General features: G+C 43.3%; 1 protein-coding gene across 42 annotated transcripts in view; it reads left to right on the top strand.

Annotated features, from left to right (window-relative positions):
• Nucleotides 1-21,341, top strand: part of SCMH1 (Scm polycomb group protein homolog 1) — a 215,105-nt gene that overhangs the window by 176,555 nt on the left and 17,209 nt on the right. For 36 of the 42 annotated variants that reach the window (NR_135092.2, XR_946584.3, XR_007096354.1 and 33 more), the window contains 2 exons: nucleotides 16,862-17,062; nucleotides 19,154-19,345. Coding sequence is in view for 35 of the 42 variants with exons in the window: in NM_001172222.3 (NP_001165693.1) it covers nucleotides 16,862-17,062; nucleotides 19,154-19,345 (393 nt within the window). In the remaining 7 variants the exon portion in view is untranslated. Of the gene's footprint in view, nucleotides 1-16,861; nucleotides 17,063-19,153; nucleotides 19,346-19,619; nucleotides 20,040-21,341 lie in introns of all 42 variants that reach the window. The other 6 variants (XR_002959761.2, XR_007096355.1, XM_047449601.1 and 3 more) reach the window with 4 other exon arrangements.

The raw sequence follows: 21,341 nt of genomic DNA, 5'->3' as shown, positions 1-21,341 counted from the left end.
CAGTTGTTTGAGAACCATTTGTTGAAAAGACTCTCTATTTTTTATTGTATTGCCTTTACTCCTTTGTCAAAGATAAGCTGATTATATTTATGTGGGTTTATTTCTGGGCTCTCTATTCTGTTCCATTGATCTGTCTATACTTTAGGCAATACCACACTGTCTTAATTATGGTAGCTTTACAATAAGTCTTGAAGTCAGGTAGTATCAGCCCTCCTGGCTTCGTTCTGGGTCTTTTGCCTCTTCATATAAAGTTTAGATTCAGTTTGGTTTGCTATTGTTGTGGAAACAGAAGTGCACTCTGTTGCCCAGGCTGAAGTGCAGTGGCACAGTTACAGCTCACTGCAGCCTCAATCTTCCTGGGCTTAAGCTATCCTCCCACCTCAGCCTCCAGAGTAGCTGGGACTACAGGCACATGCCACTATACCTAGCTAATTTTGTAGAGACGGGGTCTCACTATGTTGCCCAGGTCTCAAACTCCTGGGCTCATGCAGTCTTCCCACCTTGATCTCCCAAAGTGCTGGGATTACAGGTGTGAGCCACCACCCCCAGCTGATTCAATTTGTTGCTGTCTACAAAATAAATTCTGGGATTTTGATTAGGATTGCAGTCAATCTCTACATTGACTTGGAAAGAACTGACATCCTGACAAAATTAAGTCTTCTTATCCATGAACACAAAATATCTGTTTACTTAGTTCTTTTTACGTTTCTTTCAAAAAACTTTTCTAGTTTTCCTCATATAAATGTTATATATATTTTGTTTAACTTATACCCAGGTATTTCATTTTCTGGTGCTAACATAAATGGTATTGTGAGGGTTTGGTTTGTTTTATTTTTTGAAATAGGGTCTTGCTGTGTTGCCCAGGCTGGAGTGCAGTGGTGTGATCACAGCTCTCCGCAGCCTCAAACTCCTGGGCAGAAGCGATCTTCCTGCCTCAACTGGGTAGCTAGAACTACAGACATGCCACCATGCCTGGCTAATTTTTTTATTTTTATTTTTTTTATAGAGATGGTTTCTCGCCATGTTGCCCAGGCTGGTCTTGAATTCCTGGCCTCAAACAATCCTCCTGCTTCAGCCTCACAAAGCATTGGGATTACAGGGAGCCATTGTGCCTGGCCTGTATGGTGTTTTTTAATTTTAAATTTCACTTGTTCATTGCTGCTATATAGGAAAGTGATTGACTTTTTGTATATTAGCTTTGTATCCTGCATTCTTGTAATCACTTATTAATTCCAGGATGTTTTTGGTTGTTAATTATTTCATATTCTCTGCATAGACGATCATGTCACCTGAGGACAAAGTTTTATTTCGTCCTTCCCAAACTGCATTCTTTTTATCTTACTTTTTGTCTTACTGCATTAGCTAGGACTTCCAGTATGATGTTGAAGAGGAGTGGTAAGAGAGGGCATCCTTGTCTTGTTCCTGATTTTGGTTGGAAAGCCTCTAGTTTCTCACCATTAAGTATGATGTTAGCTCTAGGTTTTTTGTAGATGTTATTTATTAAGTTGAGAAAATTTCCCTCTATTTCTAGTTTCCAATAGTTTTTATTATGAATGAGTGTTGGATATTGTCACATCCTTTTTCTGCATCTATCGATATGATTATCTGATTTTTCTTACTTAGCCTGTTGATATGATAGATTATATTAATTGATTTTTGAATGTTGAGTCAGCCTTGCATACTTTGGATAAATCTGACTTGGTCATAGTGTATAATTCTTTTTTATATTGTTCAATTTGATTTGATAATACTTTGTTGAGGACAATGCTGGCTTGATAAAATAAGTTAGAAAATATTCCTTCTGCTTCTATTAATAACTTCTAAAATAGATTTTGAAGAATTGGTATAATTTCTTCCTTAAATGTTGGTAGAATTCACGAATGAACCTATCTAAGCCTGGTACTTTCCTTTTTTGAAGGTTTGGGTTTAATTAATTCAATTTTTTAATAGATATAAACCTATTCAGATTGTCTATTCTTGTTTGAGTTTTGGCAGACTGTCTTTGAAGGAATGAGTTCATTTCATCTAGGTTATCAAATTTGTGGACATAGAGTTGTTCATAGTATTCCTTTATCTGTTTAATGACAATAGGATCTGTAGTGATGTCCCCTTTATCATTTCTGATTTAGTAATTTGTGTCATCCTTCTGGTTGTTTGTTTTGTTTTTTTGTTTGTTTGTTTGTTTGTTTAGTTAGCCTGGCTAGAATATAATTGATTTTATTTATCTTTTCAACAAACCAGCTTTTGGTTTCATTGTTTTTTTTATTATTATTATTTTTTAGACAGAGTCTCGCTCTGTCACCCAGGCTGGAGTGCAGTGGTGCGATCTCAGCTCACTGCAACTTCCACCTCCCAGGTTCAAGTGATTCTCCTGCCTCAGCCTCCTAAGTAGCTGGGACTACAGACATGCACCACCACGCCCAGCTAATTTTTTATATTTTTAGTTGAGATGCGGTTTCACTGTGTTGGCCAGGGTGGTCTCGACCTCCTGCCCTCATGATCCGCCCGCCTCAGCCTCCCAAAGTGCTGGGATTACAGGCGTGAGCCACCACGCCTGGCCTGTTTCCTCTATTGATTTCCTGTTTTTGATTTCATTGATTTCTGCTCTATAATCTTTACGATTTTTTATTTTCTGCTTACTTTGGATTTAATTTGCTCTTCTTTTTCTAGTTTCCTAAGATGGAAGCTCAGATTGCTGCTTTTAGATCTTCTTTTCTAATATCTGCATTCAGTGCTATAAGTCACCCTTTAAACACTGCTTCTGCTCTATCCCACAAATTGTGATAAGTTTTATTTTCATTTTCATTTAGTTCCAATTTTTTTTTTTTTTTTTGAGATGGAGTCTCACACTGTCACCCAGGCTGGAGTGCAATGGTGCGATCTCAGCTCACTGCAACCTCCACCTCCCACCTTCAAGCAATTCTCCTGCCTCAGCTTCCCAAGCAGCTGGGATTACAGGCACACGCCACCACACCTGGCTAATTTTTTCTTTTTCTTTTTTTTTTTTTTTTCTGAGATGGAGTCTCTCTCTGTCCCCCAGGCTGGAGTGCAGTGGCCCGATCTCAGCTCACTGCAACCTCCGTCTCCTGGGTTCAAGCAATTCTCCTTCCTCAGCCTCCTGAGTAGCTAGGATTACAGGCATGCGCCACCATGCCCAGCTAATTTTTGTATTTTTAGTAGGATGGGGTTTCACCATGTTGGCCAGGCTGGTCTCGAATTCCTGACCTCATGATCTGCCCACCTCAGCCTCCCAAAGTGCTGGGATTACAGGTGTGAGCCAAGGCACCCAGCCTAATTTTTTTATATTTTTAGTAGAGACAGGGTTTTAACATGTTGGTCAGGCTGGATTCGAACTCCTTACCTCAAGTGATCCACCCACCTCGGCCTCCCAAAGTGCTAGGATTACAGGCGTGAGCCACCATGCTTGGCCATTTCCAAATATTTTTTAAATTTCTCTTGTTATTTCTTCTTTGACCTATGTGTTATTTAGAAGTGCATTGTTGAATCTCTGGTGATTTTTTTCATGTATCATTCTGTTGTGTTCTGAAAGAAGACATTGTGTGATTATTCTTTTAAAATTTGTTCAGGCTGGGTGCGGTGGCTCACGCCTGTAATCCCAGCACTTTGGGAGTCTGAGGCCAGTGGATCACTTGAGCTCAGGAGTTTGAGACCAGCTTGGGCAACATGGTGAAACCCTGTCTCTACCAAAAATTCAAACAATTAGCCGGGTGTGGTGGCATGCACCTGTGGTCCTAGCTACTCAAGAGGCTAAAGTGTGAGGATCACTTGAACCTGGGAGACAGAAGTTGCAGTGAGCCAAGATCACAACACTGTACTCCAACCTGTGTGAAAGAGTGAGACCCTGTCTCAAAAAAAAATGAGAAATTTTAAAAATTAAAAAAATATATTCAGATGTGTTTTATGGTCCAGAATGTGATCTACCTTGCTGAATGTTCTACATGAGCTTCAAAAGAGTATGTATCCTGCTGTTGTTGGATGAAGTCGTCAATAGATGCCAACTATATTTCAGTTGATTGAGGGGCTATTGAGTTCAATTATGTCCTTACTGATTTTATATCTGTTTGATGTGTCCATTTCTGATGGGGGGTGTTGAAGTCTCCAACTATAATAGTGGATTTATCTGTTTCTCCTTGCAGGTCTGCCTGTTTTTGCCTCATATATCTGACACTCTGTTGTTAGGTATACACACATTAAGGAATGATATGTCTTCTTGGAGAATTGGCCTCTTATTATGTAATGCCCCTGTCTTTCCCTGATAATTTTCCTTGCTCTGAACTCTACTCTGTCTGAAGTTAATATAGCTACTCCAGCTTTCTTTTGATTAGTGTTAGCATGGTATATCTTTCTTTACTCATTTACTTTTAATCTATATATGTCTTTATATTTAAAGTAGGTTTCTGGTAGACAACATAAACTTGGGTCTTGGTTTTTTAAAAATTTTTAAAAATAATCATTTACATTTACACCTTAGCAGAATTCAAGCTCCTCTCATCCTCCTAACCTGGTGATCTTTCATTAGCTTTACAAAGACAGTTTAGTTTTGGGGAAGGGCTATTATCGTTTAAACTATAAACTAAATGTCTCCCAAAGTTAGCTTGTCCCAAGCCCAGGAATGATTAAGGGCAGTTTGGAGGTTAAAGATAAGATAGGAGTTGATTAGATCAGATCTCTTTCACTGTCATATTTTCTCACTATTACAATTTTTGCAAAGGTGGTTTCAGATGAATTAAGATTAAGGAAAATAGGCCAGGCATGGTGGCTAACATCTTTAATCTCACTACTTTGGGAGGCCGAGTTGGGAGGATTGATCACTTGAGCTTAGGAGTCGCCAACAACATAGCAAGACCTTGGCAACAAGGTCTTGGCACCTAGGCAACAATGTAGCAAGACTTCTCTACTAAAAATAAAAATTAAAAAATTAATCAAGCATGGTGGTGCATGCCTGTAGCCCCAAGCTACTCAGGAGGCTGAGGCAGGAGGATCACTTGAGCCTGGGAGATTGAGGCTGCAGTGAGTTACGATAGTACCACTGCACTCTAACCTAGGTGACAGAGTGAGACCCTGTCTCAAAAAAAGAAAGAAATTTAAAAAAAGGTCATAATTAATTTTGTCTTTACTTTTTTCTTCTCTGATGCTCTTCCTTTCTTTATATAGATCGAAGTTTCTGATCTATATCATTTTCCATCTTTCTAAAGAACCTCTTTTAATGTTTCTTGCAAGGCAGGTGTTCTGGCAACACACTCCCTCAATTTTTCTTTTTTTTTTTTTCTCCCTCACATTTCAAGAACAGTTTTGCAGGGTACAGAACTTTAGGTCGGTGGGTTTTTTTCTCTCAACACTTTAAATATTTCACTCTCTTCTTGCTTGCATGGTTTCTTATGAGACATTAGATATAATTCTTGTCTTTGCCCCTCTATAGGTAAGACAATTTTTTCCTCTGTTCTGTTTCAGTGTTTTTTCTTTATCTTTGATTTTTTGTAGTTTGAAAATGATATGCCTAGGTGTAGATGTCAGGGTTTTTGGCATTTTTCCTTCCTGGTATTCTCTGAGCTTCCTGAATCTGGGATTTGGTATGTAACATTAATTTGGGGAAAATTCTCAGTCATTATTGCTTCAATTCCTTTCTCTTTTTATTTTCCTTCTAGTATCACCATTATATATAGATTACATCTGTTATAGTTATCCCACAGTTCTTGAATATTCTGTTATGGTTTTTTTTTTTCAGTCTTTTTTTTCTTTGCTTTTAATTTTGGGAGTTTCTTTCCCTTGAGATATATTTGTAAAGGAAAATTAGAAATTCTCTGGACCCGCCAAATTCCTTATGAAATGGGAGAGTTCCTTGACCTCCCTCGAAGGACATGCAATAGGGGTGTGGCTTGTCTTTTCAGCGCCGTGCACTCAAACCCCTTACAGGAGGGGGAACACGTAGATGGGCAAGTGCAGGAGCTAGGATAAGCACTTTTGGGGCACCGGCCCCACAGTAGCATCTAAGGGTGGGTGTCTGTAACTCCTGAAGCCCCAGTGGGCATGCTACAGTGCTCTTTTAGCTCTGCCATCTACAGATGGCTTAAGTGTAAACCAGCTCAGTGCCCTCTTGGTACCCAGGTTCTTGTCTGGCATCCAGGAAGAATCAGGTCACACACAGACTTGAAGAATGGTGAATGTGGAGGGTTTTATTGAGTGGTGGAGGTGGCTCTCAGTGGGATGGATGGGGAGCTGGAAAGGGGATGGAGTGGGAAGATGATCTTCCTGGAGTTTGGCTGACCAGCAGCTGATCTCCTCTCTGACCATCCCCAGCCAAACTCCTCTCAGTGTTCAGATGCTCCTTCTCTTCCCTCCTTCTCTGCTGTGCCATTCTGCCACTCTTCTGCTCATCGATCCTGGGGTTTGGGGTTTATATGGGTACAGGATAAGGGGGCATGGCAGGCCAAAAGGCAACATTTGGGCACGAAAACAGGAATGCCTGTTCCCATTTAGTGCTGTGGGTTTCCAGGCTTGGGGGTGGGGCCTTTGCCAGGGAATTGCCCTCTTCTACCCAGTATTTCCCTGTCTCCTGTCTGTATCACTTATGCAACAGGGAAGGGTAAACCTGGGGGTTAAGCCATGTAACACCATCTTCCAGGTGAATAGCTGTTACTAGCATTACGCATTAGCCAGATCCCCAAAGGAAAGGTAAAAAGCCTCAGGCATCCATGAAGGACTGCCTGCACAGATCATTCACAAGTAAACTCTTCGATGGTCTCCCACAAGCAAGGACACACCAGCTGCAACTTCAGGTCTATAATCTAAGTCTAGCTCTTAAACTCCACACTGATAATGTCAATATCATATCTTCTCAGGTGCAGAACAAAGACAAAGGGGACTAGTCATTCCTCCACCAACCCAGAGATGTCTGCATAATTGATTTTTACTTTACCCCATTTTTGCTCTTCAAACATTCACATTATCTTATGTAAAATGTAGATTTGCCAAGCACTTACTAAAGTCTCACAAGAATGTAACCATTCCCCTTACCGCCTACCTGCCCTCCTTTAAGAAAATGTATAAATAAGGCCGAGCATGGTGGCTCACACCTGTAATCCCAGCACTTTGGAAGGCTGAGGCGGGTGGATCACAAGGTCAGGAGATCAAGACCATCCTGGCTAACACGGTGAAACCCCGTCTCTACTAAATATACAAAGAATTAGCCAGGTGTGGTGGCATGCACCTGTAGTCCCAGCAACTCAGGAGGCTGAAGCAGGAGAATTGCTTGAACCCAGGAGGCGGAGGTTGCAGTGAGCCGAAATTGTGCCACTGCACTCCAGCCTGGGTGATAGAGCGAGACTGTCTCAAAAAAAAAAAAAAAAAAAAAACAAGAAAGAAAATGTATAAATACTAAAATCCTGAAAGCCTCTTTGGAACAGTCACAGATGTGTCTGTGGCTCATATTTTCCCCAGACATACTCCAAAGCTAGCTTAATAAACCTTGATTGATTGAGACCATTTCTTCAGTCACTCATTCAGTTATCATGCTCAAATGCAGCAATTCTTGCCTTAGCATGTCTAACCTAATAATGGGCCAATGAAAGGCATTCATTTCATTTTTTTTCTTTTTCTTTTTTTTTTTTTTTTTGAGACAATCTCCCTCTGTCTCTCAGGCTGGAGTGCAGTGTGCAGTCACAGCTCACTGCAGCCTCAGCTTCCCACACTCAGGTGATCCTCCCACCTCAGCCTCCTGTGTAGCTGGGACTACAGGCGCACGCCACCACACCTGGCTAATTTTTTGTAATTTTAGTAGAGACAAGGTTTTGCCATGTTGCCCAGGCTGATATTGAACTCTTGAGCTCACTCAATCCACTGGCCTTGACCCCCCACAAAGTGCTAGGTGTGAGCCACTGTACCCAGCCCATTCTTTATTTCTGTTACACTATTTTTGATCTCTGGTGTTTCTTTTTTATTTTTTCTTGGAATTTCCATCTCTCTGCTTACACTGCCCATCTGTTCTTGCACGCTGTCTAGTTTATTCATTAGAGCCCCCAGCATGTTAATCATAGTTGTTTTAAATTCCCAGTCTGATAATTCCAGCATCCCTGCCATATCTGAGTGTGCCGCTTTTTCTTCAAACTGTGTTTTTTGTCCTTGAGTATACCTTTTTTGTGTGATAACTGGACATGATGTACTGGGTAAAAGGAACCATGGTAGGGCCAGGCGCAGTGGCTCACGCCTGTGATCCCAGTACTTTGGGAGGTCAAGGTGGGCAGATCACTTGAGGTCAGGAGTTTGAGGCCAGCCTGGCAACATGGCAAAACCTTGTCTCTACTAAAAATACAAAAAAAAAGAAAAATTAGCCAGGCATGGTGGTGGAGGCTGAGGCAGGAGAATCGCTTGAACCCGGGAGGCGGAGGTTGCAGGGAGCCGAGATCATGCCACTGCACTCCGGCCTGGGCGACAGAGCAAGATTCTGTCTCAAAAAACAAACAAACAAACAAAAAAACAACAACAAAAAAAACATGGTAAATAGGTCTTTAGTGATGTGGAGCGATGGGAAGCATTCTACAGTCCTATGACTAAATCTCAGTCTTTCAATGAGCCTTTGCCCCTGGGCTGTGAACTTAACAAGTGCTTCTGGTCCCCGCCCCCACCTCTTTGGGTTGGATAGAATGGCCTGGAGTGCGGTATTTCTCTTCTCCCGAATGGAAGGCTAGCATTGGCTGGAGTTGGTTATTTCTCCTCTTCCAGATCAGTTAGGCTCTGAAAAATCCCTAATAGTTTAGGCTGTGGTAAAATAGTTTCTCCTGAGGGAAGACCTTGTTGAGAACAGAGGGCTCTAGTATATTTCAAAATGGTTCCTTTTCCCCTCTCCCTGCCAAAAGCATGAGGGTATTTTTCTCTTATATTTACTGTGAGAATCCGGTTGAGCTCCTGGAGGCAAAACTCACAAAAGTTTCCCCCTCCTCCCCAGTGACTGGGACTCCCTGGAGTTTTAATCTCAAACTTCTTCACACTGAGCCTCTGACAAGTCATCAAGTACAGTTTAGGTTTTCCTGCCCTAGCACTAGTTCCAGAGACTTCGGCTTATTCACCTGTCTGTCTCTTCAAATTTGAGGGCTAATAGTTTGCCCTGAGACCTTACTTCTCTGACAGATGTAAGGATTGTTGACTTTTCAGCTTATTCAGCTTTTTACTGGTTGTTAGGATGGAGTGGCAACTTCCAAACTCCTTATGTGCCAGACCTTTCTCTGAATTTTTTTAATAACCTCCAATTCTAATTTAATGGATCTAGTAAAAAAAAAAAATGACAGTATACACAAATATCCTTATGACCTCAAGATTGGGAAGGATTTTTAAAATAAGACAATAAGCATAAACTATAAAGGAAAAGATCAATATATTCTATATTAAAATGAATACAGCTCATCTCTGCGCCACATGGCATCAGTTGGGGTACCTCAATTGGGGCTTATGATAATTCCATTCACATAACTAGCAGAACTCATGTTGCCTGTTGGTTCTCGCCAAAGGATAACTTGGGCTTTGCCATACCATGGTGGCTGCGTTCCTAGAGCAAGTTTCTCAAGAGATAGGAAGTGAAAGCTACCATTTTCTTAAGGCCTGAGCCTCAAACTTAGCATAGCATCATTGCCACCATATTCTATTGATCAATCAGTCACAGAGCCTAGATTCAAGAGGAGAGGAGTAGACCCCACCTCTCAATAGGAAGAGGGTCAAATAATATGGGCCATATTTTAAAACTACCTCTCTATTCTCTGGACATGGATTATTAACATTTTTTCCACTTGCAAAATTTATTCTTGCCCTCACAAGATGCCCCATCAGAAGTCTCATCCTTTTACACCAGTAGGCTCAAGGTCTAGGATCTCATCATCTAAATCAGGTCCCAGTACACGAGGCCTCTTAGGTGTGGTTTGTCAAGGATACCTCCTTCAATGTGGTTCTTCTTGTCCCGACGACCTGTGAACTAAAGAAATAAGTTGTCTGCTCACTACCTACCTAACACACAGTGGTGCAACAGACACGAGGTAACATTTATAGATGCTTTCTTTTCAAAAGGGAGGAAACCTGAAGGCATGCAGCAGTCACTGGTCTATAGAAATTCTGAGGCCGGGCGCGGTGGCTCACGCCTGTAATCGCAGCACTTTGGGAGGCCAAGGCAGGCGGATCACAAGGTCCTGGCTAACACAGTGAAACCCTATCTCTACTAAAAATACAAAAAATTAGCCGGGCATGGTGGTGGGTGCCTGTAGTCCCAGCTACTCAGGAGGCTGAGGCAGGAGAATGGCGTGAACCCAGGAGGCAGAGCTTGCAGTGAGCTGAGATTGCACCACTGCACTCCAGCCTGGGCGACAGAGTGAGACTCCATCTCAAAAAAAAAGAAATTCCGAAATCCAGCTGGGCACATGTTGGCCAACTCCTTAATTAGGTCCAGTATTACTTTCTGGGAGTTGTTTTCCATGGATCTTGGTTTTATCCTCTGAATCATCCTTGTTTTCCATAAGAAAACTGAGATTGCCTTTTTAGTTTCCTTCCTGCCTATATAAGGTTGGGCATCCAAAGGATTTTTTCCATTTTGTACCATCTTTCTTGCTTTTAGTCCAAGCTGTCAATGCTTCTGCCAGAATGATTCTCTTAGAAACGTGAGAGGTTTTTCAGCTAGGTGCAGTGGCTCGCCCCCATAATGCCAGCACTTTGGAAGGCCAAGGTGGGAGGATTCCTTGAGCCCATGTGTTCAAGACCAGCCTGGGCAACATAGTGAGAACCCGTCTCTACAACAAAGTAAAAATTAGTTGGGCATGATGATGCACACCTGTGGTACCAGCTACTCAGGAGGCTGAGGTGGGAGGACTGGTTGAGCCCTGGAGGCCGAGGTGGCAGTGAGCTATGATCATGCATGCCACTGCACTCCAGCCTGGATGACAGAGCAAGACCCTGTCTGTAATTTAAAACCAAAGAAATTTGAGGGGCTTTCTTTGAACTGTCAGAGTTCACTTCATTAGACAAAAGCCACAACTACAAGTCTTTTAATGATAAGCCCTTCTCTACTTTGGGCTTCCTATTCAGCTGCTGTAGGACAGTACTCTTAAGATTCTTAAAAATCCTGTTGTTTAAGGCAAAGAATCTGTGAGGCTTGCCCTTAAGATTCTTAGAGAACCTTTTAGGCCTGAGAGTCTGCACAGCATAGAGTTACATCTTTCTTACATCTTAAAGAATTTTACTGTCCTTTTCTAGAGTCGAAATCCTTTCATAATTTATAGTTTTTTGCCTTATGGAGAGACTGGAAATAAGAAATTTTATTTGTAAATTCTGCAAGTCCTGGGGGTATGTGGAGGGGTGTGTGTACATGTTTTTAAGCTCATCTCTTGTCTTGCATTTTATCATAAGCAGGGAGAAGCCAGGTGATACTTTCATTACTTTGTCTGGAAATCTCCTTAGCTATTTCCTTGAGTTCATCAGGAATATTTCTTATTTCCATGTTACTATAGGCAACAGTCCTGTCAAACTTTCAACACTTCCCCTTTCATCGATCTTCCAATAAGATTTTCTTCACTTTCCCTTAAACCTTCACTGACAGCCTCATTAAGAACCTTTAGGCCGGGCGCGGTGGTTCACACCTGTAATCCCAGCACTTTGGGAGGCCGAGGCAGGCGGATCATGAGGTCAGGAGATCGAGACCATCCTGGCTAACACGGTGAAACCCCGTCTCTACTAAAAATACAAAAAATTAGCCAGGTGTGGTGGCGGGCGCCTGTAGTCCCAGCTACTCGAGAGGCTGAGGCAGGAGAATGGCGTGAACCCGGGAGGCGGAGCTTGCAGTGAGCCGAGATCACGCCAATGCACTCCAGCCTGGGCGACAGAGCAAGACTCTGTCTCAAAAACAAAAAAAAACAAAACAAAAAAAAAACCTTTAGGCTTCCATTAAAACTCTCCTCGAGTCTCCTTCAGTTTTCACTGACACTCTGTGTGGTCCTTTATGCTTCTTTCTGCTCCCCAGGTCCAGAGCCAATGCCATGTGTGTCAGCCTTTTGTTACTGCAGCACCCTATTTCTGGTATCAGAATCTGTCCCAATAATCTTTTGCCATGTAACAACCACCACAAAATTTCATGGTTTAAAACAACAATGTGGGCAGGCCTGGGTGGAGACAGCTTGTCTCTGTTGCATGCAGCGTCAGCTGGGGTGGCTTGACTAGGACTGAAGGATCCACTTTCACCACATGGCCAACCAGCTCGTTCTGGCTGTTGGTTTAAATGGACCTCCCTGCAGGGTGGCTTTGCTTCCTCACACATGGTAGTTGGGGTCTCAAAGCAAATGTCCCAAGAAACAGGAAGTGGAAGTTGTCAGTTTCTTAATCCTTAGGCCCAGAAACTGGTACAGTGTTGTTTCTGCATAGTCTAAAGGCTTTATAGTTCTGCCTTTTATATTTCATCATTTAATCCATGTAGATTTTTTTAAATCATCACCAGACTAGTTATATTATTTCCTTTTTGTGTATTTTAACTGAGGTAAAGTTTCTACCTTTAGTGAAATGTACAGATCTTAAGCATACAATTTGGCCGGGCACAGTGGCTCACACCTGTAATCCCACCACTTTGGGAGGCTGAGGCGGGCAGATCAATGGTGAAACCCCATCTCTACTAAAAATACAAAAATTAGCCTCGCGTGATGGCACGTGCCTGTAATCCCAGCTACTCAGGAGGCTGAGGCAGGAGAATCACTTAAATCCGGGAGGTGGAGGTTGCAGTGAGCCAAGACCGCACCACTGCACTCCAGCCTGAGCGACAGAGAGAGACTCTGTCTCAAGAAAAAAAAAAAAAAAGCCTACAATTTAATGAGTTTTAAGCACCCATGTGACTACAACTCCAAGGAAGATGGAAGACATTTCTGCCACCCCCGAAGTTCCCTTATGCCTCCTTACAGTTGGTCTCCACTTCCACCTTTATGCTGATTTTTATCACCATAGATTAGATTTCCCTATTCTTGAACTTACTATAAATGAATCATACTATATGTACTCTTTTGTATCTGGTTTATTTCACTCAGTGTTTTAAAAAGCACCCATGTTCTTGTGCCTATCAGGAGTTCCTTCTTTTTTACTGCCAAGTGATACTCCATTAAATGAATATACACTCACGTATTACTTAATCACGGGGATATGATCAGAGAAATGCATCATTAGCCAGTATCCTCATTTTGTGAATACCATAGTACATCGATCTTCAACCTTTTTGGCACCAAGGACTGGTTTTATGGAAGACAGGTGTTCCATGGACCAGTGGCATGGGGGATGGTTTCAGGATGAAACTGTTCCATCTCAGATCATCAGCCATTAATTAGATTCTCATAAGGAGCACACAACCTAGATCCGTTGCATGCGCAGTTTACAATAGGATTCATGCTCCTGTGAGGATTTAATGCCACTGTTGATCTGACAGGAGGCGGAGCTCAAGTAGTAATGCTCACTCGCCTGCTGCTCAACTCCTGCTGTGCAGCCCCTTTCCTAACAGGCTGTAGACCCCCGTATTGGTCTTCAGCCTGGGGGTTGGGGACCCCTGTCATAGCGTACTTACTCAAACCTAGATGGTATAGCCCATTGCTCCTAGGCTACAAACCTGTATAGCATGTTACTGTGCTATAGGCAGTTGCAGCACAATGGTTAAGTATTTGTGTATCTAAACATGTATAAAGATAAAAAGGATACAGTAAAATTATGGTTTAAAAGATTTTTTAAATGGTACACCTATACAGGGTACTTACCGTGAATGGAGCTTGCAATACTGGAAGTTGCTCTGAGTGAGTGGTGAATGAGTGGTGAGTGAATGTGAAGGCCTAGGATATTACTGTACACTACTGTGGACTTTATAAACACTGTACACTTTGGCTACACTAAATTTTTTTTTAATTTTCTTCAATAATAAATTAACCTTAGCGTACTGTAACTTTTTTACATTATAAACTTTTTAACTTTTTGACTCTTTTAATAACACTTGGCTTAAAATACAAACATACTTTATAGCTGTACAAAAATATTTTATTTTTATCTTTATTCTGTAAGCTTTTTTTATTTAAAAAACTTCTAGATTTATTTTATTTTTTTACTTTTTAAACTTTTTTATTAAAACCCAAGACATACACACACATTAGCCTAGGCCTACACAAGATCAGGATCATCAATGTCACTGTTTCCTATCTCCATATCTTGTCCCACTGGAAGGTCTTCAGGGACAATAACATGCATGGAGCTGTCATCCCGTGATAACAATGCTTTCTCCTGGAATACCTCCTGAAGGACCTGCCTGAGGCTGTTTTACACTTAACTTTTTTAATAAGTAGGAGTACACTCTACAATAATGATAAGAAGTATACTAAATACACAAATCAGTAACATAGTCATTTATTATGTTACCAAGTATTATGTACTCTACGTAATCCTATATGCTATATTATTTTATATGCCTGGCAGTGTAGTAGGTTTGTTTACACCAGCTTCCTCACAAACACATGAGTAATGCATTGTGCTATGACTTTACATTGGCTACAAGGTCACTAGGTGATAGGAATTTTTCAGCTCCCATGGGAACACTGTCATATATGCAGTCTGCCATTGACCAAAATGTCATTATGTGGCATATGACTGTACCACAATTTGTATCTCTTCTCTTTTTGGTGGATATTTGGGTTGCTTCTAGTTTGGGGTTATTATGAATAAACTATTATGAACATTCTTATAGGTGTCTTTTCATAGACACTTGTTTTTATTACTCTTCTTATCTCTCTGGATTCCTGCATTTTTAGTTATTTCAGTAAAAGAGTCACATTACTAGATGTGAAAATCCTGTTTCTTAAAAGACTTCAGTTAAACCTTCTTTTATTAGATCCCCCTCACACTCACCTCCAGAGGCACCAACTCTGCCGATTATTAGGCCTTTTGCAAATTATGAGAGCGTGGTTCTCATCACTCCCCACTCCAGCTTTAGGGTATACAGCTTTGTTGGGTCTGTTGAGTCAGTCGCTACGTTTCCAGTCCGCTTTCCACCTTCCTAATCTTATTGTCATCTCCTCTCTTATTATCTGGCTCATTTTAGTGAGTTTTTGGAGAGAACAGAGTTAAATGTATTCGTTCAATTCATCTTGTTTACCCTTTTCTTCTTTTTGTTTTTATGTTTCTCCTGTCACTTTCCACATATCACCTCCCTACTTTCTGTTTTCCATTTCTTCCGTCCATGTTGGTTCTCCTTAGAATTAGAATTATGAAGGTGGAGAATCCTCAGAGAGCATCTGGCTCAGTCACTTCATTTTTCAGGTGGTGAACCTGAGACCCAAGGAGAACAACAGTCCATCCACGGGCCACACAATTACTGCTCTTATCTTTTCTACCTTTAATAGCAAAGAGACTTTTGCCCTTCTACCCCTTCAGCTAGTGAGCCACAACCACACAAGAAAGAATAGTACCCGCTACTCAAATGGGAAGCTGGAAAGCAGATGGAGGAGAAAATGTCATTGCTGACCAGGTTGCTGTGGGTCCTGAGGAGAGAACAACTCCAGAGACAACTCTGTTAGGACTGCCTCGGTCTCCTGTGCCCACTGCACCCCTTCCCCACTGCAGTGCCAGGTGGAGGCCAGTAGCTAGGAGAGTGCTTAGCCGTCTTGGGACCCTCAAGCTCTTTTCACTTTTTTTTTTTTTAAAGACGGAGTCTCTGTCATCCAGGCTGGAGTGCAGTGGCGCGATTACAGCTCACTGCAGCCTTGAACTCCTGGGCTCAAGCAGTTCTCCCACCTCAGCCTCCCAAGTAGCTGGGAACACAGGCACATGCCACCACACCTAGCAAATTTTCTGTAGAGATGTGGTCTCACTGTATTGCCCAGGCTGGTCTCAAACTCCTGGCTTTAAGTGATCCTTCCGCCTCAGCCTCACAAAGTGCTGTGATTACAGATGTGAGCCACTGCACCCAATTTTTTTTTTTTTTTTTGAGACCAATTCTCACTCTGTCCCCCAGGCTGGCGTGCAGTGGCGCAATCTCGGCTCACTGCAAGCTCCACCTTCCAGGTTCAAGCGATTCTCCTGCCTCAGCCTCCCGAGTAGCTGGGATTACAGGCGCCCACCACCATGCCCGGCTATTTTTTTTTTTTAATAGAGACGGGGTTTCACCTCTTCACCAGGCTGATCTCGAACTCCTGACCTCGTGATCCACCTGCCTCAGCCTCCCAAAGTGCTGGGATTACAGGCGTGAGCCACCACGCCCAGCCCAACTTTTTTTTTTTTAATCCAATTTTTTTTAAAATTTTTATTATATTCTTTGGGCATGAGTGTTGATGTAGAAGATAACAAAGGGACCCTAAGGCCCAAAACAGAAAGCAAGGCAAATGATCAATGGTGCAACTATTCTAAATCCAATGACATACATACACACACACACACACACACATATGCCCTTGCTAATATTGCCATTGCCCCACAGTGCCTTACACATATATGGTAAGAGGTACAAAGAATATGTGAGGCAACCAAGTACAAAAAAATGGAAGTACGTACAAGAGGGGAATTGTCTAGATTTTCTTTTCAGTGCACAGAAGACAAAGTGCAAACTCTGTGTCTTGGCCTTTGGTCTGGGCCACTCTTCCAGTCTTCCCACAGACTTTGATCATGCAGTTTGGGTTGGCAGTAGCTGGGCACAGCCTTTTCTTGACCCTCCACCCTCTACCTCCCACAGCATTTCACCAGCTCAGCTGCTAGGAATTCTGTTAGGAACCAGAGGCCAAGGTATAAAAGATGGAATAGGATGCTGTTCTCTGACTTCTCTATCCCAGAGACTCTTGAAGCTTCTTTGATTCTTTGTCTCCCATAGTTTGTATCTACTTGAACAAGAATGGCAGCACAGGCCCCCACTTAGATAAGAAGAAGGTCCAGCAACTCCCTGACCATTTTGGACCAGCCCGTGCCTCTGTGGTGTTGCAGCAGGCTGTCCAGGCCTGTATCGACTGTGCTTATCACCAGAAAACCGTCTTCAGCTTCCTCAAGCAAGGCCATGGTGGTGAGGTTATCTCAGGTAAGCACACTTTGGCTCATATTGCCTCCCAGCCAGAAGGACCCACCTTCTCAACTGGTTGATTTCTTGTAAGGCATCCTGGTTCCCACTTCATACCTGCAGGCTCTGGAAAAATGTGAAGGTATTCCATTCCTCATCTCCAACCCCCCAAGAGCCCCTCTGAGCCTTATGCATACCTCTGCCAAGGAGAATACCCACAGATTCTGCTTCAGTGAGCCTCTAAACTGATTCCCCCCATCTACCTGATTGACCTGTCCGTACAGAAAGTATAGGAGAAAGAATCCAGAGGGGGCTATGTTGTGGCAGCAGGAGGGTTTCTCCAGACTGTTGCAGCCTCCCACCTGGTTTCAGGAACCACTGAACTCCTCTATCATTCCTTTGATTCCTTAGCTTCCTCGTCCTAAACCAGGCCCAGAAGAAGAGAATTAAATCCCAGGGTGGTTGGGAAAAGTCATTTCCTTTTTCTTTACTGCTATGAGAGTTTGATTCAGTGACACAGTGTTTTTTGCTCTCACAGAATACTCATTTTTTCTCCTGTGTCCTGATTCTGTTTCAGTTTTCCTAAATCCAAAATCCTGTTTAGCCACTAAACCTATGAAGACTTGACCTAGAGCCTTTCAGTCTTAACTGATGCTATTCCATATTCCCCTGCCCCTCCTCCCTAGCAGGTTGTAATAACCAGCTTCAGGAAACCCCGCTGGCATGGAAGACTCCATAAATAACCAGACTGTATTATTTTAGCAAACATTTATTGAACCCTTACTATGTGTCAGGTGATTGCCAGACACTGGTCAGGAGAAGGGGAGAATAGAAGATGACAGCTTAGGCTCCATACCAGTGAAAAAGAAAGAATATACATAGCTAACTGTGAGAAGTGCTGTAATAGGGAAATGTATACAGAGTGGTGTGGGAACCCAGACTAGGGAGTACTTGGCTGTGAGGAGGATGGAGCAGACAGGCAGGGAATTTTTATAGAAGACTAGGAATTGGCCAGGTGCGGTGGCTCACACCTGTAATCCCAGCACTTTGGGAGGCTGAGGTGGGCGGATCACCTGAGGTCAGGAGTTGAAGACCAGCCTGGCCAACATGGCAAAACCCTGTCTCTACTAAAAAAAAATACAAAACATTAGCCAGGCATGGTGGTGCACGCCTGTAGTCCCAGATACTCGGGAGGCTGAGGCAAGAGAATTGCTTGAACCTGGGAGGCGGAGGTTGCAGTGAGCTGAGATCGTGCCATTGCACCCCAGCCTGGGTGACAGAGCAAGACTCCGTCTCAAAAAAAAAAAAAAAAAAAAAAGACTGGGAAGTGCCTGGGAAATTAAGCCTTATGTCCCTTCTGAGGCCCAGCCTACTCCCTGGTCTCTTCTTTGTTTCTGTGTAATGGTCTGTAGGAACCTGGCCTTCTTTACTGCCTCTCTTTAGCTGCTCTCCTATACCCTCTCTGGGGTTCTTCTCCTGCCTCAAAACTGGTTCTTGAGAATGACCTATCTCCCCAAATCCCCATGTCCTTGCTGCCCTCAGAGACAAATACACAGGTCTTTGCTTTTTAAGGTTTATACTGATACATTTTTATAGAAAAAGATGATAGGAAGTAAACTAACACCAAGCATGAAACAGTTCCAAATGTTGCCAAAATTCTAGTGCCCTTATGTAGATCAGAAATTGTGTACCCATACCATTGCTGGCTATGGCTATATTCTACTCTTCTGCCAAGCTTCTCTGTTCTTGGGCAGTTCTTGTGAAAATAGCACCCTAAATGAGCAGATTTCCTGGGGGAGGTCCAACCAAGTGATGGAGCAGAGAGAATTATGTTCACAGTTGTTTTCACAAGTTGAATAAAATCATTCCAGAGCCCAGGGTGCAACAGACCTGGCCTGGCCACTCCCATATTTGCAAGCCCTTTACAGTTGGAGGCAAAAATCAAAGCCCTCGAGGGAGGGAGTTAAAGGGAGGGAGGGAGGAAACGTGGGGCACTGATTCCCTTTGTGTAACCAGGTAAGCCTGAGACAAGCAGTGGGCTGGACTCGTCCTGCCTAGCGCTGTACTCCACTGCCAGGCTGACATGCTTGGCCCTGTTTACTCACTCCACAGCCGTGTTTGACCGGGAACAGCATACCCTCAACCTCCCAGCAGTCAACAGCATCACCTACGTCCTCCGCTTCCTGGAGAAACTCTGCCACAACCTTCGTAGTGACAATCTGTTTGGCAACCAGCCCTTTACACAGACTCACTTGTCACTCACTGCCATAGAGTACAGCCACAGCCACGACAGGTACCTACCAGGTAGGAGCTGGGATGGGGCCTGGGCTGAGAGTGGGGGACAGGGCTAGCAGCAGCACCTGCAGGGGCCCAGGGTCAGCCTTCAGAACTACTGGCCTGGCACCTACTATCTAGAGGTCTGCTTTTCTGTCCCTTACCTTTGCCATATCTGAGACTTCTCAGCCTCCTCTCATCTTTACTTTTTCTTCAGGATTTTGTTTTCTGTCTCTAGGATCACCCCTATTTCTTCTAGATCCTTATCCCTAGATAAAAGGTGGTTCGCAATTCCCCTTCTGAGTTTCAGACTGCATGTGGAGCCACCAAGAAGTCACAGAACGTCTCCCAGTGTGAACCTGGCAGCAAAGGCCTAACACACATCTCCCTTGCCAGCAGGAAGGTTTAGTCTCAGGCTACAGATTGAGAAATTTGCTCCCTGGTGATTGGCCATCTATTCTTTCCTTTGGCACATGGCCCTAACTTCCAGCACTGCCAGTCTAGCAAGTCAATTCAAGTTCCTGCTATTTCTAACTCGGCTGGAAAATAACTTTCTTAGTTAACATACCAGACCCACAATGGGAAAGCAGATGCCACGTGGCCAAATCAGTGACTAAGTACTTCCGAGAGAGATTAAAGATTCAATGGAACTCTGCGTCTCTCATCTGGAACCCAGGACACAGAACAAGGGAGGGAAGAAAAGCTCAGCCTTAAACATAGCAAGGTAGGTCATTACTGAGAGGGAGGAAAGGCCCTTAAAAAAGCCCTGCAGATTGTGTCCTGAGCAGAGAAATAGGGAGGGGTGCTGCCAGTGTGAGTGCTGTGCTGTCTGTTGATGGGAGGGCACAGGTCTGAAAGGTGTCTTTTCCGACCTTCCTCTACACAAACAAGTCTTGTTCCCACACTGCCTTCCCTGGTGTCTTTTCATCATAGTCTTAACAGAATCACCTCCGATAAAAGCACTGCTTCTAGAGAATGTGCCCAGGGAAGTGACTGTTCCCCCATTCTCCTTCCCCCTTTCCCTCATAGATACTTCTGTACCCAAATCCGTATTGCTTATGTGACTTGCAAGCAGGTCAAAAAGATACCTGAATTTTAAATACTCTGTGGGGGCCAGACCATCTGATCCCTGCAGCCATTTCTATGATCCCCTGGCTGATCCTTTTCTATGGAGGGAACTTCTCCTCACCTAACCCATGCTAGATTGCTTTCTTTCAGTACCAGAGTCTCTGAGAAAAGAAAAAGGCATTCTGACTTGCAGTTAGAATGTTGCACTGGGAGTCTGGACTGGGCATGGTAGAGCTGGTCCAGACAAAGGCAAGTTTTAAATACCTCCAGTTAGGCATTCAGGAACTCTGATCTACATTTCAGACGTGAAAGTTAGGCCTACCTGGGATTCTGAAAGAATGGATGCATGAATGGGGGTTAGCACATCCATGAATGTAGCTGCTAGTTTAAAAAGAGATTTCTCAAAGAAATAGGAACTCCGAATTCTTAAATGGAATGCCATCATTAAGAAGTGAGAGAAACATACTGGTAGCAGCATTCAGAGACTGGTAAGGATGTACCTCATGGGCCTGCAGTCCCAAAAGTGGTTTGGGACCGGGGCATGACCTTTCCTGGGAATTCTGCCCCAATTTACATCTCTCTGATTCAGCCACTAGATAAGAGGAAGCAAACTTTAGCCAGACTCTTCTTGCCTCACCAACTAAGAGAAACAAAGACCAAGGTATCACATTCTGCCATTAGCTGCTACCTCTCCCTTCCCCATTTTCAGACAGATTGAGCCCACTTTTTGTGTCCTCCTCTGCTCTTAAGCTGTTTCTCATCGTGGGTGCTCAGCAACTTGTCTGCTCTCACTCTAGTTTCTATTTGCTTCCCTGAAATTAGCCTTTAACTATGCCCAGACAAGCCAGAGCCTTGCCTAAACTTCTAATTCCTCTGTGCTTCTTAGTGTATCCTTTCTGCCTGCTTGCCTGCCTGCCTTCCTGCCTGCTTGCCTGCCTTACTGACCCTTTGCCCCACC

The sequence above is a fragment of the Homo sapiens genome, chromosome 1, assembly GCF_000001405.40.
Source record: "Homo sapiens chromosome 1, GRCh38.p14 Primary Assembly".
Taxonomy (NCBI): domain Eukaryota; kingdom Metazoa; phylum Chordata; class Mammalia; order Primates; family Hominidae; genus Homo; species Homo sapiens.
The sequence above is the reverse complement of the archived record's forward strand: the minus strand, read 5'-3'. Positions and strand labels throughout refer to the sequence as shown.